General features: G+C 44.8%; 1 protein-coding gene across 12 annotated transcripts in view; it reads left to right on the top strand.

Moving 5' to 3' along the window:
• COL22A1 (collagen type XXII alpha 1 chain) overlaps positions 1-26,054 on the top strand; it is a 325,807-nt gene that overhangs the window by 227,408 nt on the left and 72,345 nt on the right. For 11 of the 12 annotated variants that reach the window (XM_017013150.3, XM_011516886.4, XM_011516884.3 and 8 more), the window contains 5 exons: positions 1,322-1,426; positions 2,165-2,209; positions 9,999-10,076; positions 22,894-22,929; positions 24,551-24,604. In XM_017013150.3, coding sequence (XP_016868639.1) covers positions 1,322-1,426; positions 2,165-2,209; positions 9,999-10,076; positions 22,894-22,929; positions 24,551-24,604 — 318 coding nt within the window. Of the gene's footprint in view, positions 1-1,321; positions 1,427-2,164; positions 2,210-6,957; positions 7,018-9,998; positions 10,077-22,893; positions 22,930-24,550; positions 24,605-26,054 lie in introns of all 12 variants that reach the window. The other variant, NM_152888.3, reaches the window with a different exon arrangement.

The raw sequence follows: 26,054 nt of genomic DNA, 5'->3' as shown, positions 1-26,054 counted from the left end.
TTTGGAAAGGAACCTCCAGGGCTCTGCAAAGTGGTAAAAATCCCGGACATCACAGCATACTTTTTCCCTCTCACACCATGTCCAGGGGCTGGCCTGCGGCTAGGGGAAGCTGATCCTGCTCCAGGCTTGGAGAGAGGCCCTCTCCATCCTTGCTTTGCATATCCTTGGCTCATCTTACCTTACCTCTGCTCCATCTGAGAATGTCTGGAAACACTGTGATTGCAGCTTCCACCCAGGGCAGCCCAGTCTGGGGAAAGGAGTCCGTCTGGTTCGCGGGGCTCAACCCAGTGTTCCACAGTCAGGGCCGCCACAAGGGCTGTTCAGAGCCCTGTCGTCAGAGAAGATGAAGCACTGGCCTGGAGCAAGCTCAAAGCCCAGGTCCTCAAGCCGACCCCGGTGCCCATGCTAGCACTCTCACACTCTCTCTCTCTTGCTCTCTCCATTGCAGCTTTAGGCTCTGTTCTTATAGTTGAAAACCTAACTGTAAGAGGGATTGGATTGTATCTACAGGGTTCCAGGGAACAGACTTAGTGTCCAATGTTGGGAAGATTTCAGAGAAGGTTGAGTATAAAGAAATGTTGCATAACAGAGCTACCTGACAAAGGAATGCCCAGTGTGGAGTGGTAGTGAGGTCTCCGCTCCCAGAGGAGTTCAAGCAGAAATGAGGGCTGATCTGTAAGAGATGCACCGGAAATAGATTTGCCCGCACTGGGTGGGAGGTCGTCACTAACGTCCTTTCCTTTTCCATGTTTTGCATTGAGTTGATTGACTAAGGCTGCAGTAACAAAGTATCATGAACTGGGTGGCCTAAACAGCCAAAAATGTACTTTCTCCCAGTTTTGGAGGCTGGAAGTCCTCAGTCAAGGTGTTGGCAGGACTGGCTCCTTCTCAGGGCTGTGAAGGAAGCATTTGTTCCAGGCCTCTCTCCTTGGCTCATTGGTGGTGTCTTGTCCCTGTGTATTTGTGTCCTCTTGCCTCTATGCATGTATGTCCAAATGCTTCCTTCTTTAAAAGACGCTACTCATATTGGATTAGGACCATTGGGGAGGGTCACACTCCAGTATGACCTCATCCTAACTTTAATCACATCTGTGCATTGAAGTAGTAGGGGTTAGGACTTCAAGACACGAATTTTGGGGAACACAATGTAACCTATAACACACATTACACAGTCCATCTTTCTGTGTCCCAGAAAGCATGGGCCTTCTAAAATCATAAAGGCAGCCCCAGGAAACCTACAAACCTACTCAAGCTGCTCCCCCATAGAAAAGCTTCGTGCTGAGTGTAATTGACCCTGGGAAATGTCTACTTTTCTTTCCAGGGTGCAGCGGGGGAAGAAGGCAGCCCAGGGCCAGTTGGTCCCAGGGGAGATCCTGGTGCTCCTGGGCTCCCTGGGCCACCCGGAAAAGGGAAGGATGGAGAGCCGGTAAGTGGAAGGTCGGGGGTCCCAGTGCCTGTAGAAACCAGGTGAAAATTAGAGAAGGAAAAGGAAAAAAATCTAACTGCCAAACTTTGCAGAAATTGAACCGTGGCCAATGAAATGGGCCTGGTTGGGAAAGGGGTTCAGGCTAGGGCAGCACAACCTCATGGACTGCTGGCCACATGCCAGCCTGGGCCAGTGCTGGGGATACAGAGATGGATGAGACAGGCTGCGCCCTGGAGATGCTCCCATCTCATGGAGAGACAGTCAGGCAAACACATCCCCACAGCTCAGGACAAGTGTGGTATGCGTAAAGAAGGACTTCTGGTCTACTCTGGTGCTTTCAGCCAAGACTTCCAAACGTAGAATCATGGTTTTCATTGTGGCTGTGAGTGCCAAAGCCCTTCAGCCTGAAGTGAAGGTTTCAAAGCCTGCTTTGAAACGAGGCCTTGCCCCTTACTTGCGCAAGTCTATACAATAAGGCTCTTCAATGGGAAAGCAAACTGAGAGAGGCTAAGAGATTTCCTGAAGGCCACACAGAGACAGTAGGAGGCAGAGTCGGAATTCACATCCAGGGCCTTGTGGCTCAAAACCAGATTCTGTTTCTTTTGTGCAAGTCAGGTCATAGTGAGTCTCACCCATCTCTGGGTCCCCAGCAGAGGATGCAGTCAGCCTGGCACGTGGTGGATGGGTCAGTGTTCACTCTCAGCTCCATGATTGTCCTTGTATTATTTATTTCTCCAGGGACTCCGTGGATCACCTGGACTCCCTGGACCCCTAGGAACCAAGGTGAGTGCTTGTCCAAGAAAACTGTGGGTGCCACGAGTTGCCGTTTGAAAGAGAACGTGGAAAAATTGATTATAAGCATCTCCGGTTACCTCAGTCCACTTCCATGTTTCTCAGCTCATCGTGTTCCATTTGACTAAAGGTTCTAGGACTTTTTTTTTTTTTTTTCGAAATCTTACTCTGTTGCCCAAGCTGGAGTGCAGTGGTGCGATCTCAGCTCACTGCAACTTCAACCTCCTGGGTTCAAGTGATTCTCCTGCCTCAGCCTCCAGAGTAGCTGGGACTACAGGGATGCACCACCATGCCCGACTAATTTTGTTTTGTATATTTTTAGTAGAGATGGGGTTTCACTATGTTGGCCAGGCTGGTCTTGAACTCCTGGTCTTGTAATACCTGCCTCGGCCTCCCAAAGTGCTGGGATTACAGGTGTGAGAGAAGATAGAACCAGTGCACCCAGCCATTTCTATGACTCTTAACTGTTACATTGAAGTAGTTGTCATATAATCGGTACTTAATAAATACTTACCATTAAATGAAGTGGTGGGAGACACTGACTTTCAATCGGCAGAGCGATAGGTCTAAGCAGTCTTGAATTATGAGTCTCATTGTGGTACCAGATGATTCTAAAATTTCAGAGGCTTAACACAGTAAAAGTTCATATCTCATGGACACTAGGTCTATGGGAGTCTTGCTGTGGGGAGTTCTGATCCACACAGCCATTCAGTGGTCACGTGTGAATCCCATGGCTCTTCCATCCTTTAGTTTCAGAATCTTCTACCAAATTCTTGGGGTGCAATAATAAGTAAAGGAAAAGAGAGTGGAGAACCCTGTGGGAGGATTTTATGGGCCAGGCCTGGAGATTGCTAATTCATTTCCACCAACACCTAGTGACAGTCACACAGGGGAGACTGGGGCATGTCGTCTGCTGAGGCACACAGGAGGAAAAGAGAAATGCTTGCTAAATACCAGCCAGTCTCTTCCTCAATTCAGTTGCACCCACAATTCAGAAACTATGACCTTTTTCATGGGGAAGTGTTCTTAGGAGAAATTTCCTGAGTGGACAGGGAAGTTTCCTAAAATACCTTCTACAATGAATCATTCATTCATTTACGCATCAATTACCAATCAATTACCAATGCATTCATTACTTTATATACTGCATGTCTGCTGAGTTTCTTACCACATGTGTAAGATTTTAAGGTGAGCTGTGGGATGACAACAGTGCATATCATGTGTTTCAGGACCTCCAGTGGCTCACGGTTCAGCCAGGAAAACAGATATGTCAACAGACGAAAAGCAGATGAGTGCTAGGAGAGAGGGTAGCTCAGGGCACATGTGGGCTCAGAGGGGGCTCGCTAACCCAGCATGGTTTCATTACCATGGCTTCTTGAAGAAGGAGATGTTTGTCCTGGTTTTAAAGTGCATGTAGGGCCGGGTGCGGTGGCTCACATCTGTAATCCCAGCACTTTGGGAGGCCAAGGCGGGTGGATCATGAGGCCAGGAGTTCAACACCAGCCTGGCCAACATGGTGAAACCCTGTCTCTACTAAAGGTACAACAAATTAACTGGGTGTGGTAGTATGCGCCTGTAATCCCAGCTACTTGGGAGGCTGAGGCAGGAGAATCGCTTGAACTCAGGAGGCGGAGGTTGCAGTGAGCTGAGATCATGCCATTGCATTCCAGCATGGGCGACAGGGTGAGAATCCATCTCAAAAATAAATAAATAAATAAAAATAAAATAAAGTGCATCAGCAGTTAGCAGGGGAAGAAGTTGAAGAAGGAGTCATTGGCAGGGGAATTAACAGGGAAAAAGACACTGAGGCATGAGGCAGAATGTGTTCAGAGAAGAGCATGAGCTCTAGGTATGCCCATATCCAGTGAAAATTATTTGACTAACTCAGATGCATCAACTTTTAAAAATGTGGGTGAAACAGTCAATGACTGACTTGAGAATGTTTACATTTTGGGCTTTCATTTGACATGCATATTCAAAATAATAATAAAAGTGTTATTGTAAAATTATATTACTTCTTTTGTACTTGCATATGTCTATGAAAACAATTTTTAAAGTTTCCTATATGCCTTCAATGTCTTCCGTCATCATCCCTTGAGCCACTTTCTAAGTCAGCTGGCACTTCTCCAGAGCTGATTACTATGCATTCCACCTGAGTTCTTTAAAGATTCAACACTTCTGGAATGCATGCATGCTGCTATTACTGAAAGTTTTATTCTAAGCCCCAGAAACCATTCTCCAAACAGTAGGAGATGTTTTTTCCCCTTTTTATTTATTTCTTTCTATACTTGCACCTTTGGTATCTCAACAACATAAACGCAGAGTGTATTGCTTCTCAAATTGTATGTGAGAGGCTTGCTTACAATAACATGCAAGATATGAAAATGTGAGGCTCCAGAAATAATTACTGTTATCTATATTAAATTTCATTGCTTCATGGTTTCCCCTTATTCAAGCAGGTGAGGTGACCTCTGTAAACATCCCAAGCTTACACTAATTTGGTCAATGTAGACCAATGTGCTTTTTCCTAAGGGTGATGTTCACAGTCAAAATATTTTTCAAAAGGGAAAATGTTTTTGTGTGATATGAGTAAATACATAACCACTCCTCATTTCCCTGACTGCGGGATCATATAAAATAGTTCCATATGCCTGGAACAGTGGGTATATATGGAGAGGGGCAGATTAAGGAATTAGGACCTAGATTCTGGAGGATTTTGTGCATTAACCACCAATCTGAAGATACGTGGCAGGCTCCCCCGTGATGTGGTGCACACAGCCCAGTCCGATCTGCAGTGCTCAGGGGCTCCACTTCTTTCCCCTTAGAGGAGAAGGACCTCAGGGACCCTCAGGGCCTAGAGGGCATTAGGATCTAGAGGGTATTGATAGCCTCTTGGAAGACAGGAAGGTGAGAGCACCAGAAATGGTGGAGCAGCAAAGTGGCTTCAAATGCTCCTTCTGTATGACCACTGATCTAACAGTAGGAGACCTTTTTTCCCCTTTATCCTGTTTATTCTGTAGCTATATCTTTGGGATCTTAGTGATCCACTGATCCAATGGATCCCAAAGATCCACTGATGGGTAGGCTCAGAGTGTATTACTACCTAACTCACAGGCAGAGTCTGGGGGAAAAATAAATGTTATCATACAAGTATGCATACATACAGTTGCCTAGCATAGTGCCGGTCACAGTTACCTGCTCAGTAAATATTCATGATCCTTATTATTAGATCACCCTGTGGGGTCTGCTTTAGACCTTATTATTAATTATTATGATTATGCTTAGATCCTTATTATTAGATCACTCTGTGGGGTGGCAGCAAGAAGGCAGGGGTTTATCTCTGCAGGCATGCAGTTGTTGGAGGAAGCCTAGGGGAAGTGGGGGAGGCAGCATTAAAGAGCAGAGGCAGGCTGAGACCCCCCCCGGGGGGAAGAGTGCAGACATCCCTGACATGGGTCCAGTTGACCAATCAGTTTCAACTCCGTGAGTCTCAGAGCAAGTCATACTGCTCCTTTGGCCAAATGTTTCCTCCTACTTAAAATGTGAGATGTCTAAACACATGACCCATTCCAGTGTTGATATTGTGTAAATGTGTAAGTCAGAATGTGGCTTAGAAAGCTTTCCATAGTCAATTGGCATTGGGAAGACAAATTGGAATTTGAGGTCATCTTTCATTGAAGAATGGGTTGCTCAGCCGGAGGAAGAAGGTAAGAAGCAGGGGAAGCTAGGGAGAGGTGGAGAAAGAGATCCTAGAGAGGGTGACATCCACAAGGCTTGCCCTGGTACTGTCCCAGGTGCTGATTGAAATTAAGGAAATTTCCTTAGGAAATCAAGGAAGGGAGTTATTTGAAGGTTTTCCTTGGCTGCCCCTTGGCCCCTTCTAATTCCTTATAACTGCAGGAAGACTCTTGAAGATGCCAGTACTTCTCTTGAGTGGCACTTGTTTCTAGCAGGATAAGTAAGCTTTGGCTTCATACAGAACTGGGTTAGAATCCCAGCTCAGCTACCTACAAGACAGATGACTCAAAGGCAAGTGGCTCAAGTGGCTTTGTCTCTCTGAGCCTCAGTTCCTTTTCCGTATGAAGGAGTAAAGAGTGTTTAACCCCTACAGGGCTCCTCAGGAGATCTATGATCTTATGACACACAGCTGTTGCTCAATAAATATCATCCTCCGTCTACAACCCCCACACTTCCTTCCTCCCACATCTCTTCCTTGGACACTGTGCTACCGATTCTAGCTCATGTGCTCTGTTCTTTCTTAACCATTAGCCTTCTGGCTTTTCCTGTCAGAACATTAAGATATTTTTGCTCTTCTTGGGGCCGTTTTCTAAAAGTTTCAGTTTATGAAATTGTAAGGTCATTTCTTGGGGGAATTTGTTAGCATCACAGTGGACCGTAAACAGACAAACGGAGCCACACCTAGTGTAGCAGAAAGCAGTCAGTGACTCCACGCTTCCAGACTGGGCTGGGAGAGGCCTTTCTGTCATGCTGCCTCCTCTGAAAAAGTTTATTTTGGTCAAAGGCAGATCTCAATGCCTGACACAGAATGATGGATGGAGGATTCTTTTGTTCCTGCATCCAGGAAATGGTTATTAGCTGCCACCTGTGCCAGACCCTAATCTGGACACTGTGGATACAGAGATGCATAGATCCAGTACCTAACAGAGGGGCTGAATTATTTTAGGTGCTTGGTAAACATTTGTTTGGTGAAGAAATGAGTGAAGATTTTCTACTTTCAGGCTGCTTGCGGAAAAGTCAGAGGGTCAGAAAACTGTGCACTGGGAGGGCAATGTGTTAAGGTCAGTGAAGATCTATGCAAACATTTGCAAAAAGACAGAAGGACAAGACAGGCAGAGGCAGCTTTATAACAACAAAATAATGGGACTGAGTCTTAGTTGATAAGTAGGCTTTGGAAGCTTAGAACATGGATGGAAGAAGATCCCAGACAAGGGGAAATAGCATGTATACAAAACAGAAGAGCAAACAAATACCATGGAAGCATACAAACTAGGTTGTTGACATGACTTAGCTTGCAATGGTCATGGTTTGCTGATGTACATGGACCATGGCCTTGGGACAGGAAAGGGACAGTTTCTGTTTCAAACTAAAACAGAAAATAAGAATAACAGGAAAATCTGCATTAAGATTTTTAAAGCAAAACCAAAGTGCAAAGAAATATAGATTTATCTGACATTTATATGTGTTTAGTTCACTTTCTATCTTCTACCTCTGCATATAAGGTAATAATAGAGGGAGGACTGTTTGAGTTCAGAAGTTCGAGACTAGCCTAGATAACATAATGAGACCCTATCCCTATAAAAAATGTCAAAAATTAGGCAGGTGTGGTGGTTCACATCTGTAGTCCCAGCTATGGAGGGAGGCTGAGGCAGGAGGATTGCTTGAACTTGAGAGGTCAAAGCTGCAGTGAGCCATGATTACACCACTGTACTCCAGCCTGGGTGACAGAGCAAGACCTTGTCTCAAAAATAAAGAAATAATAAATAAGTGATAATAATGCAACCATAATATACAATGTATTTCTCAACCTTATATAGTTGTTTTTAAATGTCTTCATAAGATACATGAGGATTTGGTAGAACTTTTTTTTTAATTGATGAGGACCCAGTGATGCAGAGAGGTTGTGGGACTTACCGAAGGTCACAGGATGAGGTTGATTTGGTCCTGAGACTGGACCTAGAATCACCTGACTACCAGCTTGAAATCTTCCTACATGCCCCTCTCCATTGCTACAATGAACTGGTGACAGATAAATCACATGTCATGATGGTCATTCTTGGTTCATGACACTTGTTTCCATATTTGTCTTATTTTTTTTTTACTCCCTCTATTCCCCAACCACCCCATAGAAACTAGTTAGATTTTCTAGGGATCCGAAGTATCTTGAACTTCCAAGAACCATTCATATCATATTATTCTAAAGAAACAGATTATACTAATTGAGAATTTACAGAAAATTTGAGGAGGGAACTGCTGGCAGAGATGAGGGCAGGGCAAGGGATGTTGCTGACTCCTAGGGACCCAGAAACAGCAGGTAGTGTGACTCAGAGGCCCAGAGGGACCAGGGGAAGAAATGATGTCAAGGAGACCTAGTGAGAGATTTAGGTCTTGGTTTGTGTCTTTTGTGAGAACTTCGCAAGGTCTGTTCCTTCATATCCCCATGAACATCCCTTCTCTTCTGAACTTAGCACTGAGTATTGACAATGGGCACTGAGTAATCTTCTGGGCTTGGAATCTAGAATATGGTTTGCAGTGAATGAATAAGCATTAGTTGAATGAATACATAGCTTATGTACTCATCCAGGCAACGGTTGTACTATAGGAAAGGCAAGTCATCTTAGAGCCATGAATGAGATATTTTGTAATGCACAATAACCTAAACCTTAATAAAGCAACAAATTACCTAGCAATATCGAGTTCTACCTTAATTAGCTGCAACATTATCTCATTGGCTCTTCATAACAAGCTTCTGAGGCTGTTTCCGTTTGTCATACGAGTTAACTCATTCCAGAGGTATTAAGTGGCTTGAGCAAGATCACCTGCCGTCTTGGCCTCAAGCTTGACTGTGGTTCAGCTGGCTGAATAAGCTCAGGATCATGGCCTCCTACACAAAACTGTTGGGGCCATGTCTGTTTTGGGCCAAATTCAATTTCGATTTTGGAAAGGTAATATGCAAAATATACACATAATGACATTTATGATAGTATCTGGGGCAACACCCCTAATCAAGCACATTAATCCTTAGGCGACAAAAATATGTAAATTTTCAACACACAATGGAATAACCAAAGACTGCAAATAGCACAAGTCAGGTTTTGCTGCCAACTGAGTTGAGATCAACACTTGTTTTTAAGGGCTGAGGATTTTGAAATTACGAATAAGGCGTGGCTCGGCCTTGGCCATGTTCTCCAGGAAATGGCAAACAAAATTTCTTCCCTTTTTCAATTTCTCCCTCCTTTTTCCTTTTCCATCAAAGTCCAGCATGGCAGTACAACGAGAACAGAAGCAAACACAACTCCTAGCTCAGGTTCAGTGCTGTGCTGGGCTCTGTGCCAAGCACTCTCTCTGCATAATCTCATAGAGTGAGCACAACATCTGCAGACCTGGCAGCTCCTGTCCTGTTCCCCTTGTAGGTGAGGAAACTAGAGCATAGGAACTCATCACTTTCCTAAGTTAACAGTTAATAGGTGTTGAAACCAGAACTTAAATCCAGGCCTCTGACACCCACGTCCACACTGTTAACTATGCTTGAAGGCAAAGGTCTTATCTCGGTCCCCTTTAGGCTCCTCCTCCCACATCCAGAAGGATGATGTGCAAAATGTAGGTACTTGGCAAATTATTGGTGAATTGATAAATTAATTTATGGGTGATTTGGGATCTAAATTGAAATGTGGGTGCATGCGCAAATCTGGGGTATAGTTAGGATGAGGGTCTGATGTGGTTTGAAGAAAGCATGGTAGATTTGGACAATGCTCACATGGGGAGGGCCATAGTGTTATAATCACATTTAGAGCCATGGTCAAGGTTGGTCCGGGAGTGGTCGTCCTTGAAAGGTATATAATCTGAGTTGGTGGCTGTGGTCCCTGAATATTGGGCTGAGTGGGATGATGGGCTGCCTGGGTAGACTATAGCATGGCCCATGGAGGCCAGGTGGCAGGAGAAGCCTGCAGTCAGGATTCTAGAAGAAGCATGATTCATTTTGTACCCTAGCCCTCTCCTTCCTGGCACTGACCTCCTTGATCTTATTTTTCTCTCTTTCTAGGGGGATCGAGGAGCTCCTGGGATCCCTGGTTCTCCTGGCAGCCGTGGTGACCCAGGCATTGGGGTTGCTGGCCCTCCTGTAAGTCTTTATTTATCCAGCTCTTACTTGCTTTCAGGACATACAGCCATTTCCTGTTGGACCTGCCTGCAGAAACACTCTTTTCTTTCTTTCTTTCTTCCTTTCTTTCTTTCTTTCTTTCTTTCTTTCTTTCTTTCTTTCTTTTTCTTTCTTTTTTTTTTTGAGATGGAGTCTCGCAGTGTTGCCCAGGCTGGAGTGCAGTGGTGCAATCTCAGCTCACTGCAACCTCCGCCTCCCAGGTTCAAGTGATTCTCCTGCCTCAGCCTCCCGAGTAACGGAGATTACAGGTGCCTGCCACCACGCCTGGCTAATTTTTTGTATTTTTAGTAGAGATGGGGTTTCACTGTGTTGGCCAGGCTCGTCTTGAACTCCTGACCTTGTGATCCACCCACCTCAACCTCCTAAAGTGCTGGGATTACAGACGTGAGCCACCGCTAGTTCTAATGAATAATTCACATCAGTCTACTAGGTGTTAGTTTACAAACTCACTAGGGGTGATAGCTTTAAGAGTTGCTAAAACTTTGAGTTATAGGGATCTTAAGAATCAATGAAGTGTGTTCCCGTTCAGGTTGAGGATTGCTATCAATATCTTCGGCCTCCACCTGAATGCCTCTAGAAATAGAAGGCACACTTCTTTCAAAGCCAGTACATCTGGCTCTGCAGTTTAAAAATATATTTCCATAGATAATGGAAATTCAGTAGAATTTTGTTTTCATTGAGAATAACATTATGGTATCCTGTAGTTTCCACCCACTGCTTTTAATTCTCCCTTTTGTACCACAAAGAACACATATTTTCTTTCCTTCTTTACTGAATGATAGTTTTTGGGACATAAGACCAGTTTACAACCTTGAAGCCTATTCTTCTGTTTAGTCCGTTCTTTGATAAAGACATCATACCCTCTTAATGCACCTTAAAAGTGCATTTACTTTGTCCTTAAAAGCCCTGTCTTGCTATTGTTTAAAAGAAGCTCAAATACTCAGTGCTTGCTAAGCCATGGAATACCTAAACTACCCATGTATTATTGTTGTTGTTACTATTATCTTAACCCAAAAGCACAATCTAACTTTATCTTTATTAAATGCAACTGGAATATAAACTGGAGTAATACATGGTCTAGTTGCTGTCTGGTATTGCATTCAATAAATGAAGGCCACGACCAAGAGTGATTAAGAGTAATATCATTCTTCATGCATGACTCTCAAAGAATAAGAAGGAAAATCCAACTTATTACCCAAAATATTACTTGTGAAAGAAAATCCCCCTTTCCTTTTCTTCTGTGGTTCTCTTACATCCAGAGTAGTTCTTGGGCCTCTCACTCTCTCCCTGAAATTCTCCTTCGTCCTCCCATTTTGGAGCAGGCCTCCTGGCTTCCACACCAGAAATCACCCCCTCACTGTTATTTCTACCCACTCACAATGATGGGTTGTTTCATGGTGACAAGAAGACCAGGTAGCTCTGTGTCTTCTTAGATCTTCCTGAAAAGCATGGAAGGAGGCGTGTGGAATGCCCTTGGGAATGTCTAGTTTGGTTAAACTGTTTTCCTTAAAACACATTCTCAGGTAAAACTGCCCACTTCATTACATTCATTTTACCTTTGTTCTTTGGCTATTTTTGTTGAGTCTTTTTGTAACTGGAAGGAACACTGTAACAATAAGTGCAGCGAGAGAACACAATAGTTTATGCCTTCTTCTTTCTGAAATTCTCCTTTAATAGGGCCCCTTCTGCTGGAGTTAGGATGCTGCTTCATGTGGCACTCGCTCCTTAGCATAGAGAAAGGGTTGTAAGTGAAACTGCAGACCCGTAACCTGAATGAGGCACCCCCATCACTTACCAGGGTTCTACGTGACCCTGTCTACTCCCTGCAGATTCACCTTATCAGCCCTTACAGAAAGCTGGCTGTGGAGGCGGACACAATTCACCCCACCTGCCACCGAAGAGCCAGCAAAAATCACCCATGAAATATGTTCCCGCCTAAGTAAGTCCACCTGAAAAGTAATTGGCTGGCTCTAGTCAAGAGGCTGTAAATCAACTGTTTAGTATCTTGGCTACCTCTTGGACTTATTAAAAGCTTCCGTGGTGGATAAAACCTTATTGAATTTTCATAAATCCTATCTCTGGCCACAGCCCAGGCCAGTAATGGCCTGGGAATCTGTATGGAGTGTGCAAAGATATGCTGAGCTAAGCAAAGGTGTGTGGAGGAGGTGAAGAAGGGGTCAGCGTGGGGGTGGGTACATGTCAAGTTCACTGGGGATGCAGTTGCCTCGTTACAGGAACATTGCCATTTGCTGAGAAGTCCTGTGTCATATCTTGTGCTGGGCCTCAAAGCATCCACATCTACCTCCTCATTTGGTCCTGGGCAAGTTGGTTTTATCCGTTGGTTAAGGCTGGGATCCCATGTAGCCCCTAAGGAGGGGATTCAAGAGCAAGGAGTTTGTTTGGGAGGTGATCTTAGAAATCACTACTTAGGAAGTGACAAAGTGAGACAGACAAAGAAAGCAAGCCAAGGGGAGGGTATGTTACTGAGCAGAAGGCCACCGTGGGTACCTGGGACTCACCTGTACAACAGCCCCTGAGTGACTGCATGGCGTTGTTGCAGAGTTGTTCTGCAAAGGGAGAGAAAGAGCTGGGGAGTTTCTGTACCACCTCCTGCCTGTGTTTGGTTGGAGGCTGCTCCCTGGGGAGTCGACTCCCAGAAACTCTCAGCCTTCCCTGTGGTTGGGCCAATCATTCACCTGTAGCTAAAGAAAGCCCTGGGCAGGTGCATGCCCAGGGAACGTGGCAGGAGGGAACTGACCTGTCCACTACATCACTGTTTTCCAGGTAGACAATGTGAGGTTCAGAAGGTGACATGATGTGGCCAATGCTACACAGCCAGCCCAGGGCAGGGCCAGGATACAGACCCGCTTCCCACAACCTCTGAAACCAGTCCTTTTCCCCCTGCAACACCTCGCTTTGTGGCTTCGGCAGGATGGGCAGGATTTATTCATTTCCATTAATCTTCTGTGAGATCCCTCAAAGAAGGCACATTAAGGATAGATCCGGCTGGGGCCGGGCATGGTGGCTCATGCCTGTAATCCCAGCACTTTGGGAGGCTGCGGCAGGTGGGTCACCTGAGGTCAGGAGTTTGAAACCAGCCTGGCAACATGGTGAAACCCTGTCTCTACTAAAAATACCAAAGTTAGCCAGGCATGGTGGCGCATGCCTGTAATCTCAGCTACTCAAGAGGCTGAGGCAGGAGAATTGCTTGAACCTGGGAGGTGGAGATTGCAGTGAGCTGAGATCCGCCACTGTACTCCAGCCTGGGCAGCAGAGCCAGACTCTGTCTAAAAAAAAAAAAAAAAAATAGATCGGCTGTAAGTAAGTTACTCTTTGCTTCCTTCCTCCCGTGATGTCATGCTCCCATGCCTTTGGCATCCAGGGCAGCACTGACTCCCTGGAAGGGAGCCAGGAGCTCTGTCTGCCAATCTCTGCACTGTCACCAGGCAGGGGGATGAATGAGGCCATTGTTTGGGGTTTTGGCTTGCTGCTTCAAGATATTAACAAACAAACAAAAATCCCTTTAATCTTTAGGTTGCCTCTGATGTTCCCTTAGCAATGTTTAAGTTGCTTACAAAATGAGCCTCCTTAGGCCCTGGGACAGATTAAAGTCCAAATTAGTTTGACTGAAGGAGCTGGGGTTTGTGAAGATAAGGTCCCACATGTAACCCAGGACTTGCTCCTTCCTACTCGGGCCCTCAGTTTCCTGATGGATCAGGTGCCAGCAATTTCTGCAGCAGCATCAAGGAAATTGGGAGGAATACAACATGATAATACTGGTGATAATACCTGCTTCCCTGCCTTTGCCCCAGTGATGTCATAGCAATCCTGTTTGCCTGATGTCTTTCTCAGACTTTGCAGCCTGAAATGACGTCCCTTTTTGAGCCTCTCACTGTCCCTCCCTGGAATTAGTTGTACTGATGCCTTACATCAGTTGGTCCAGGCATTGAGGACGCACATACAAAAGGGACAGAATTCCCAGGCTCCCTGCCCTCCAGTGGGCCTTCTAGCCTAAGAGAGGCAGGAAGCATGGCCCCGTTATGTGCAAACAAATATCTCAAGTGCCCTAACAGAACAGTTTTTTTTTCATCCCCCCACCTTCCAAGGAATAATATATTAATAATAAAGATAACAGCCACTGAAATATTAGAGTAATGGCAACCACAGCCAACATAAAGTGCCTACTTGCAGGGACAAGAGTGAGCAAAGGCCTCCATGTCTACCTCTCATTTATCTCACAGATAGTCTCTCATTTGTTTCTCCCAGAAACTCTAGCAGGTGGATTCCACTTTTCTTTTCATTTTACAAGTGAGGAAACAGAGATATGAAGCCACTTCCCTGAAGTCACCGTTAGGACATGGTAGAGCTAGGACAGGAACCCCAGCATTCTAACTCCAAGCAAATGCCCTTAACCACTCTTCCAGCAGGGGTACCATACAGTTGGCCCCTGAATAATGTGACAGTTGGGGTGCTGACCCTGCACAATTGAAAATTTGAGTATAACTTTTGACTATCCCAGTATTTAACTAATAGCCTACTGTAGACTGGAAGCCTTACTGATAATACAGTCAAGTAACACATGTTTTGTATGTTATATGTATTATATACTATATTCTTACAACAAAGCAGGCTAGAGAAAAAAGTTATGAAAAAAATCATAAGGAAGAGAAAATACATTTATAGTACTGTACAGTATTTATCAATACCGTAAGTTTGTGTTGTTTGCTTGTAAGAATAGTCCATTGGAAATGGCTGCAGCCACAGCTGCAGACCTCAGTGTAAGGTACACATCAAGCCATTCAGCTTTTTCTTGTAATATGACGACTTTTCTCTGCTCCGTGGAAGAACCTCCAGCATCACTTGTAGTGCTTCATGTGGGTTTTCTGGTGTTATTCAGTGTTTACAGTATTGCAATAAACACGACAAAGAAAAAAATGCAAGATCTGCGAGAGAACGCTTTCTACTTTGGCAACACAATTTACTGGAGAGACAGACTGCTCACGCAGAGATGATTAGAATCACGCAGCATTTAAGCAGATACTCACAACACTTGAGCTCACCACAATCGCAACAGGAGGTGGCCATGAAATTATTATAGTACTACGGTCTGGCTACCATTAATTTTATGCAGTTATGACTTAATGCTGCATGTATGTTTCTTTACATTTCTCTCAACAGCCACGGTGCCATGTATGGTCTGTGTTTGTGTGCACACATTTTAACAAATTGTAACTTTTTATTATAGATTTGTGTATATTTTATGATACTAAATGATACAACAGACTAGTATCTCTCTATATTTTATGCATTCATGACATACCTTACTTTTTCTTAATTTTTCAGTATTTCTAGGCCACTGGGTCATTTGGCAGTTTTTAAAAATTGTTGAAAATCTCCAAAATATTTTCCACTGTATTTACTGAAAACAATCTGCATTGAAGTGGACCTACACAGTTCAAGCCCATGTTGCTCAGGGGTCAACTGTGGTAACAAAAGTTCGTGTTCACTTTAGCCTTCACACTCACCAGTGGCTTTTTTTTTTTTTTTTTTTTTTTTTTGAGACAAGGTCTCGCTCTGTCCCCCAAGCTGGAGTGCAGTGGCGTGATCATGGCTCACTGCAGCCTTAACCTCCTGGGCTCAAGTGATCCTCCCACCTCAGCCTCCTGAGTAGTTGGGACTACAGGTGCGAGCCACCATGCCTGGCTAATTTTTGTGTTTTTTTATAGAGATGAGGTTTTGACCTGTTGCCCAGACTGGTCTCAAACTCCTGAGCCCAAGCCATCCACTTGCCTTGGCATCCCAAAGTGTTGGAATTACAAACGTGAGCCACCGTGCCCAGCCTACCGGTGGCTTTTTATGTGCATGATTGCTCCTGCACGATTGACTTCCATGTCCAGCCTGTGTGGTTTTTTTTCTTTAATTCATGTCTTATCTGCCTGCTTTAGTCCAGTTCCTTTGATCATAAGAACCAAAGCCACTGACGCTGTCCCAAGAATTAGGCTGGCTAGATTCTGTTAGGTGTGAGTACCCCCATCTTGTCTGGATGCTACTTGGGAACACTGGGCATTTGTCCATGGTTACCCCAGGCCCCAGCTCCCGGCCTTGCCCCCATGGCCGATGCTCAAGGAATGTGCAGGGCTTGATTCACTGAGATCCACTCTTGCCCTGCCCAGTGCACAGAGCTGCGTCCTGTGGGTAGTGAAGGAGGAGGCTGAGGAAGGTGTAAAGCCACACACCACCTTCCAGACTCCAGGGCTCCTGTATTGCTTCATGTATAACCAGGAGCTGAGCCACGTATAACCAGGAGTTGGTTTTTATATAAAGTCTCAGAATGGCCAGGTGCAGTGGCTCAACCTGTAATCCTAGCACTTTGGGAGGCCAAGGCAGGTGAATTGCCTGAGGTCAGGGGTTCAAGACCAGCCCGGCTAACATGGTGAAACCACATCTCTACTAAAAATACAAAAATTAGCTGGGTGTGGTGGTGGGTGCCTGTAATCCCAGCTACTCGGGAGGCTGAGGCAGGAGAATTGCTTGAACCTGGGAGGTGGAAGTTGCAGTGAGCCAAGATCATGCCACTGCACTCCAGCCTGAGCGACAGAGCGAGACTCCATCTCAAAAAAAAAAAAAAAAAAAGTCTTAGGAGTTTCTTCTGTTGATGGAGATAGAAAATAGTTTTTAAATAAGTTTCTACTGCCACCTCTGATTGGAAACTCTCCTTTCTAAATGAAACCATTTTGTTGTTCTCAGTAATAATTCCTAAGGTACACTTAACATGCTGGGCACTTGGCTTGACATGCCACTGCCTTCCCTGGTCTTCCCGGCAGTCCAGTAAGGTGTAACTATTACTGTCTCCAGGTTTCAGATGAGGAGACTCAGGCTCAGAGAGGTTTAGGCAGCTGGCCTTGGTCACTCTGCTAGTGAGAGACAAAGCAGGCATTTGAACCTGCGTTGATCTTGCCCTGAAGTCTGCACTCTTTGTTTCTAAGCGAGAAGACAGCCTCTGCTGTCCCTGTGGCTCCAGGAGCCTCCTTCGTGGCATGGTGGGAGGAGCTGGGCTGTCCTGGGCTGTTTCTGGTTCTGCACAGTTAAAGCCAGCACAAGAAAGGCTTCTTGGTACCGGACATGGGAAAGGCCAGACACTGCCCTGACCGGCCTCCAGGACCCTCATCTCTGCCTCCTTATCAGACCCCACGGCCGTGGCCGAGCCCTCTTCGGCACTCCCTGCTCTCCATTTCCACACTTCCTGCTCAGCTTCACTCTGCCCCTGCATCACTCGTGCGTTTTCCCGCTGGTCTCCCCAGGTGCCTGGCCTCTGGCCTCTGGTCTGTTCCCTCTGACCCCTTCGCCACTCCGCAGCCACAGCTGTCCTCCTAAAGCCTGGATCTGAGCCCACCTCTTGCCTGGTGGGTAGCTTCAGAGGCCTCTCCAGCAAGGTGCTCAGGCCCTTCTCCTTCAGACTCCAGCTTCCCTGGGGCATTCCTGGAGGCACCCCTGCTGCTCTCTGAGCACAGAGTCTGACTTCTCCTCTTTGCGTAGTGTTCTCCTCTGCCAGAGACATCTCTGCCTCATCCTCTTCTCTACCTGTGAAGCCCCCGACCCCACTAAACCTCTTTTCGCCTATCCCCCTCTGGGTGAAGGTTCCTCAAACTCTCTCGGGCTGATGCCAGTAGCTCTAGGCATCCCGTAACCCTGACTCACTGAACCTGATCAATCATTACAACAGAGATTTTCCTCTCACCTGGAGTGCTTCACATAAGTGGGCTCCATGCCATGCAGCCACTTGGCCACCCACCCCAGCACACAGCACTAGGCCTGCACACATGTGAGGTACTCAGATCAAAGATTACGGAGAATAAAAGTTCACTTTATTTTCAGATCTGTGCCTATGGTAGGGGGAACAAAGAGGTGATCAATTCTGAGAGAAGGGAAGCTGGTTTTTAGAACAGCCTGACAGCAGAGAAAGAAGAGAATGTGTTTCACATATCTAAAGCCATATGCGGCTTTCAGTTTTATAAAACTTTACTATAGTTGTCAGAAAACACCAATAGCATGGCTGTGCATGTGTATCAGATGTAAGTGTATTCATATGTGTGATATATATGTGCATGTGTGTGTGTGTGTGTATATATAAATTTTTATTATGGAGAAATTCAAATATACTAAAAGTAGGTAGAATAGTAAAATAAACACCCATATAGCCACAACTAGTGCCAGGATCCCACAGCCAATGACCATGGTTTTCCTCTTATCTGCTACCTTCCATTATTTTGAAGCAAATTCCAGACACATTTTGTCTGTAGATATTTCAGTATATGTTTCTAAAAGATAAGAATTTTAAAAAACAGAACCACAATCTTATAATATACCCCTTAAAAATCCATAACACCATCAAATATCTAGTCAGTGTTAAAATTTCTAATTATTTCATACATGTCACGCTTCTGTGTTTTTTGTTTGTTTCTTTAAGATCCAAATAAACATATAGCGATTGGTTGGATGTTTCAAATTTTTTTTTTTTTAGTCTGATAGAATTTTCCACCATCTGGCATTTGTTAATGTAATAGCTCAATGTGTTCCTCTGTCTCTGTGGTTCAGCTAAGTTGGTACTCAGACCTAGAGGCTTGATCTGATTCTGGCTTGATGTTGTTGGCAAGACTTCACAGGTGGGGTGTTCATCCAGCAGGAGGCACATGATGTCTGGTGGAGCCTCTTTGTGATGCATTCACCCTGTGATGTCTAATGCTCGTACCAATTAGTACATCAAGGGTTGCAGACTGGCGCTGTTCTAGTTCTATTCATTCTTTCTTTATTAGCTGGAATAGTTCTATACAGAGAAAAGTTCCCTAAAGTACCCTTTGGATACCTAGTGGTACAAGACATATGGAAGGCAGAATATAAATGCTTGAAGTCTTTCCCTTGTTTTCAAATAATGACTTGGTTCCCTAGCATCTTGCAAAAAGGACCAATTAGATGCTTATTGTTGCTGTTTGTTCTAAGAATAATTTTGAACTCGGGGATATAAACACATTTGATGTGTTTTAAATTATTGCAGCTTGTCTTCCTTTTTATGCTCATTTTGTCTTGTCTTCTGCCAATGGGGGTCTATTTAAGTCGATTCTGATTACCTTTGACACAAACCTAGCAATCTTTGATGGTCTCCTTGCTCTCTCTCTAGGTTTGTCGTGTACATTTTTTGTCCAGGTCTCTGATCAGTCATTTCTTCAAGAAGTCATAATAGTTTCTCTTAGTAGAAACTGGTATCAAAGGCCCAAATCTGGGTATTAGGGTAAAATGACTCTTGAACAAACGCATCAGAGGCCGTAATTTCAGAGAAGAGGGTTGTAATTGTTGAAAACATATTTGAGCTTCAGATATAGGAATGACATTAGAAAGTCATTGTATAATCCCCTTCTTCAGCACACCTTTATCTTTCTTAAAAGTAGACTGACAGAATAGACATGGGAACTCCTTTTATGGTTGGGCACTGCCTGCTCCTCTACTTATAGTATCTTCTTTTATTTCTGATAACACAAGGCAAGGTGATACTCTAGATTTGTATTACAATTGAGAAAAGTGAAGGTCAGAGAAGCTGTCTAAGTAACTTGCTTAAGGTCAAACAGCTGATGATTGATAAGCTAAGATTTGAAATGAAGACCTTTAATTTAAAAACGCATCCTTCAAAGTGGATTTTCTGTTAAATGACATAAGAAAATAACCTGGAGCCTCGTATGGTAAACAAGTTAAATGCTCAAAGTGGATCCTGGGATTTAACTTGAAAACAAAGGGTGACTCTCAAATGATGTGACATTTCCCAGGCCATAACAAACCATCCCTCATGCCCTTTCCTTAAGGAATACATATCCATCCTCCCTGGGAACTACTGTGAAAGGAACACAGTTCAGATGCAGGTATGGTGGTCCATGTGCACCACTGACCTACACCTTGACAGAAGCAGTGAGGTAGAATGAAGGGAGCACTGGCTTCTGAGTCAAAGAGACCAGAGTTGGAATTCTGAGTCCATTATTTTTTCTGCTTCTCCTTAGCCAAGCTATTTAATGGTTTTTAGCTTTAGTTTCTCCATCTATAGCAATGAAATGTTGATAATACCAATTTGTAGGCCTCTGATTGGGGTTAAAGTGAGAGATGATCCATGTATGGAGCAGATAGGACCACTCCTGGCATATAGACCAATAGCTGGAAGTCCCCTTTGTTTATGCAGGTGTGAGTTATTCATTCATCTCTGTTTCCCTAGCCAGACCTCCCTATGTGTCTGTATGACTCTTTCAGTCATTTCTGGAATGAGATAGAATTCTGACAAATGATGAGAGATTTCAAGAGAAAGAGAGAAGCAAATGTGCTATATTCTGGTGATTTATCATTCATTTGGTCAAGAGGAAAAAAAGAATAATTTCAGAAATTTATTGTGACTTGCCACTGTTAGTCATGATCATTGTGTGTCTTAAGAATTATATATATATATTTTTTAGTTCAGTTGCCACTCTGCATAGGTTCTTCAGGAAATAACATTTGCCATGATTCTTAAAGACAATTATTCTGGGAAATTCCTATTTTATATTAGTTTCAAATTAACCTGGTTATTACATTTATTTTAATGACTCTACATTTCTATTTCTAAAAATGTACTCTGGCTCTTTTGATACCTGCCAGATCTTTCTGGATAATGCCATGTTATTTTCTCTGTTTTCTTTCTTTTTTTTTCTATATGTAATCATTTTAATAGACCTTTTTTGTTGCCTGTATCTGACCACCCCATCCTCCAAAGTTCGTGGAAACTCAGTTCTACCACTTGTTATGTCCTTGTGGTGAACAGCTTTGTAATTTGAGATTGCAGTTTTGTGTCCTTTGGGAATCTATCTGTGAAGATCCTTTAGCTGCTCTGTATGCTCCTAGGGGATTTTCTTTCTGGGTGCCCAGAAGTTGACTTGTGTGTAGGCACATTGCCTTTGAGCTGAAGTTCTGCAGGACTTCTGACTTAGAGCTACCAGATGCCTGTAAGGGCAGGGCCCTGAGGGTGAGTTCTCAGAGGAGGCTTCCTTCATCATACACCTGCATCCCAGACAAAGATGGGTGAGCTTCCTTGACATCATTTTCTTCTCTACCCCTTCACTTTACTATCTGTCCCTTTACAGAAAAAGCCTGTGGACCCCTGCTATAACCTACTGAAGGATTGCCTTTACTTACTGTTCTGAGTTTCAACTTACTGATCAAAAGGGCTTCCAGCCTCGCTTCCTGTCTCTGCACAGCTATCAGAGTCCTGCTCCCCTCCAGGGCAGGTCTGTGTAGATTTAGGGCACTGCTTCTCAGTTGTCTCTTTCTCTAGACCTCTGGAGATTTTCTCTACTTTCTCTAGTGCCCAAATACACACTTAAAATGATGCTTATTCTATTTTATTATTAGACAGCTCTGGGGCATATTTAATGAGTAGGCTTTTAGGTTACCCCTGACACTATACTGCAGGAACCTTGGCGTTGGTGTGAAATCATTTTGCTCTCTCGGGAATGCCTTAGGGACATTCTCGTGGGCTGTGCTACAGGGAGATGCAGAGCGCACTGGACTGAGGGCAGGATGTGGGACTAACCTCACCCTGGCCAGTGACTCCTGGCGTTGCTAGGGCAGGTCTCTCTCTCTCTCCTCTGGACCTTAGTTTGATTGTCAGTGAAAAGAAGGGATGATTGGCATTGATTCTCAAGTTCTCCTCGTGCTTTAAATTTTTCATTTTGATCAAATGCTATTTGCTGTGCTCTAGTCGGCTATGTTCTTGCAATGCACAGGGCACTTGCTGAGTGCTAGAGAGAGCATGGTAAGAATGCAGACTCCACAGCCACCTCATGGGAGCATTCAGTCCATTCAGTGAAGAGGAGTGGACCAACAGGCAGTAACAATGCTGGACTTTCAGTCTTAGGCAGGGTGTGTACAGGGGCGGGGACTATCCAGTGAGCACCCTGGGAGAAGCCAGAGGAGGCTCTCCACAGGCAGGATTTCTCAAAGGAGAACCAGAGTGTGACAAGAATGTTTCCAGGCAGAAAGGCAGGACAGAGTCTTCATGGAAATGCACAAGCATCGCAAAGCCTCAGGGGCAAGGGACGGTCCCACTCGCTGCAAGACTTGGAAATGCATGTGAATGCCTTCCAGTCAATCAATGAACAGCATCTTAAGCATAATATCTAGAAGCCAAATTTTGTCTTGGCAAAGAACTGGGCACAGTGGAGGATGCCAGACCCATGTCTGTGTGTCTGTATCTGTGTGTGTGTGTGTGTGTGTGTGTGTGTGTGTGTGTGTGTGTGTGTGCGCGCGCGCGCGCGCACCCCTTGTTGGAGAAGGGAGCATGACTACTGCAGCCTCAGACACTAGCGCTATGGCTGGGGAATGTGGTCGTTATCATGCCCGTCCTTTCCCAAGCAGAAAGAGCCAGTGCATCTCCAAGGGGGTGTAATACAGGGAAGTCGGGGCTGCCAGGTTCAACCTCACACTAGAGCTACAAAGTAGAGTTGGGCCCAGGTGTCAGGAGCCACGCAGGGATGATGATAGGGTGGCATCAGTTGAGGAGCAAATGGAGGAGCTTCCAGAGAGATTTTCATGAGCAACGTTTGTGGGTGGGTAGGTGGCAAGAGGGTATGGCAGTGTGGCTTCAAGGTGGGAGGAAGTTAGTGACTCCTCCTAGGACAACTGAGGACCTGTCTATGGAATAAACACCATAGCTTGTTTACATCAGCATGCCATTTCTACTTTGCTTACATACTTGTTTGTTTGTTTCTAGGGCCCTTCCGGACCACCAGGAGACAAAGGATCCCCGGTACAGTATGCTTTAAATAAAGGGATGAGTTTCTATGGGAGGAATCCTGCTCGAATCAAAGCAGTTTTAAATGGGAAGCACCAAAAACTGAAGTAGATTCTGAAATTTCCTCCTATTATTGAACAGTGCAGACTGTCCAACCTATGAACTCTGACCTGTGGAATACAGTGTGATAGATGTACATATGAGCAGAGAAGGGATGCCACACCCATATTATAGTCAGGCAAACAGACTGGCTTCAGTTTTGGGCATCTTTTCAACACAGAAGGGTGGCCATGGTTTAATGAATTCAGCCAAATTGCCTGAAGAACTAATTTTGAATCCTGGTTTCACCAATCCCAACCACACAGCAGTGAGCCAACATGGGGATTGCTCTTAATCTGTAACATAGGCAGAGCAAGACCCGGGAGCCACTGTGGAGACCTGGTGGACTGACTTCATGCTGAAGCAACAGGAGGGCTCTCAGTCAGCCTTCATTCTTAGGAGCAGCAACCATCCATGACATGCCTGTGCGTGCATTTACTGGGAAAATGCGATTTCCTATAAATTCACCCCAGGGGAAATAGCTGCATTGTAGCAAGTGGGATGATATTGTATCTTATGCCATGTGAACGTATTTTAAATAACCTTTATTTATATGATTTCTGAATTCAGGACAGGGATTGCTTTGTGTGTGTGTGTGTGTGTGAGTGACAGAGTCCTGCTCTGTCAACCAGGCTGGAGTACAGTGGCACGACCTTGGCTCACTGCAATCTCCGCCTCCTGGGTTCAAGCAATCCTCCTGCCTCGCCCTCCCCGGTAGCTGGAATTACAGGTGGGAGCCACCATGCCCAGCACAGGGCTACAGGGCTCCTTATACCCATTTTTATAGATGAAGAAATTGAGGCACTACGTAGTGAACTGATAGACGTGAGATTTCAGAGCAAGTTATGGCAAAGTAGAGGCAAGACAGGTGGGACTCTAGATGGAGGGGTCATGTGAGAGGAGGTCTGTGAAGGCCCAGGAGATGCAGGGTCAGCTCCTGAGCAGCCCGGTAGCACAGTTCCAGCAACTGCCAGGAATTCCCACTTTTAGACCAACTTAAGGAAAAATCTTACGGGAAATGAGATCCATAATGAAAGATATCTGTGCCGTTTCCTGATGTTGTCCAGAAAATTGCAGCTAGAAATTATTTTCTTACAAAGAGTTGTAATCGCCAGGCATATGCTGAGTGTTGTGCTGGGTCTTGCACAAGGAAACTTCTTTAACCACCTAGTTAGAGCTCTCGGGGCTGGTTATCCATAGGACATGAAAGGAGTGAGCCAGGGTTTGAGCTCAGGCCCATCTCACCACAGGAGCTGTCTCTTTCACTCAAGCAAGGGAACTATACAAATGGGGTCCAAGTTGTCAGGCTCAAAATGAAGATTTTCCAGAGCATTCTCTCTGTGTGTCGAGCACATACCTCCATAGGGTACAGTCAGTTGAGTAAGCTCTGAGCAGGGTGCTTTGGCACACATGTTGCATCAGATTCCTCATAGCAACAGACCATGTGTTGAAGGAGAGCCAACTATTGCCAAGGAGGGTGTGTCCTTATTTGCTTAAATATTGTAGGGTGTCAGTGTCTTCTTTTCTTTTTCTTCAGGGATCACGAGGCTTACCTGGATTCCCTGGCCCCCAGGGCCCAGCCGGCCGGGACGTAAGTACAGAGAAATGGCGTGGACTCAGTGAAGGCCCTTACATGACCCCTGAAAGCCCGCCCTCCACCATCTCCTGGCCTCCTTTGACCATGTGGCCAACTTTGTAGCCCGGTTGAGGATTTCCAGGAAGCCCCATGGACATGCTTTTTATTTTTGCTCTTCTGTTGAGTGTGGTTCATAATTTTGTATTATCCAGTTTTATTTCCTATGTTTGTGTTAAGTTTTCAAGATCTGTTCAACTCCTGGGTATCCCACACAATGTTCCCTAATTTCTTGGTCAATGTCTTACATACCCTAGTCAGTTCTGCTCGAATCAGGCACTGCCTTCTCCAGGGACTTGCCCCTGACCCTTCCCTGGAATGGCTCTCTCTTTTCCATGGAATTCCGCAGATGTATGTCATGCTCATTGTGAGGATGTGTTCCTTCCCACTTTGTGACAATGACAGTCATCTCTTGTCTCCATTGTTTGGCCTTTGCTCAGCCATCTCTGAGCTCTAAGAAGGAGCCCCTGTGTCTTATGCATCCTCATGGTCCCTGGTGCCCAGCAGCGTGCCAGGCACATAGAAGGTACTTGATCCATACTCATTGACCAAATGGTAAATGACAACCATGAGTCCTTATAGGACAAAGGTGTCTGGCACTAGTAAGCAGTGGTATTTATTGCTTAGACATACAACTTTTCATCTCTGTAGTTTTAGTTCATTATAAGCAGGAACAACAAAATGTCCTTCTCTTCCTTGGGTTCTGTTTCCAAAGAGAAGGTTACTGTCTTATTCCTGCTTCAAAATATTCAAATTTCACTGTTCCACTCTCAGCATTCTTATAGCCAGTCTAATAGGAGTATTTTTCTAGTTTTCAAAGCCATTCCTTCCACTTGTTTGGGAAAGCACTGGGAAAGTTTAAGACAGGGTGTGTGTGTCTGTGTGTGTGTGTGTGTATGTTTGTGTGTATGTATGTGTATGTGGGTGTGTGTGCGTGTGTGTGTGTGTCTGTATATGTGTGTGTATGTGCGTGTGTGTGTCTGTGTATGTGTATGTGTGTATGTGTGTGTGTATGTGTGTGTGCGTGTGTGTCTGTGTGTTTATGTGTGTGTCTGTGTGTCTGTGTGTGTGTCTGTGTATGTGTGTGTTTGTGTGTCTGTGTATGTGTGTGTCTGTGTGTTTGTGTGTCTGTGTATGTGTGTGTGTGTCTGTGTGTGTATGTGTGTGTATGTGTGTATGTGTGTCTGTGTGTCTGTGTGTGTGTGTGCATGCGTGCATGCACATGTTCTGTGTGCATGAGTTGTTTTTAGTTTTGTGTTTAGGACAGGAGTTGTGGGGGTAGTTCTAAACATTGGTTGTCATTGTCGAATTCTTCCTGGGAAGCCATGGGTATTCAGCTGAGATTAGAAACCACGCATTTTTATTGGTGCCAATCCTCATGGTCTGATGATTTTTTTTCCCCACTGAG

Source organism: Homo sapiens, chromosome 8, assembly GCF_000001405.40.
Source record: "Homo sapiens chromosome 8, GRCh38.p14 Primary Assembly".
In the NCBI taxonomy this organism is placed as follows: domain Eukaryota; kingdom Metazoa; phylum Chordata; class Mammalia; order Primates; family Hominidae; genus Homo; species Homo sapiens.
The sequence above is the reverse complement of the archived record's forward strand: the minus strand, read 5'-3'. Positions and strand labels throughout refer to the sequence as shown.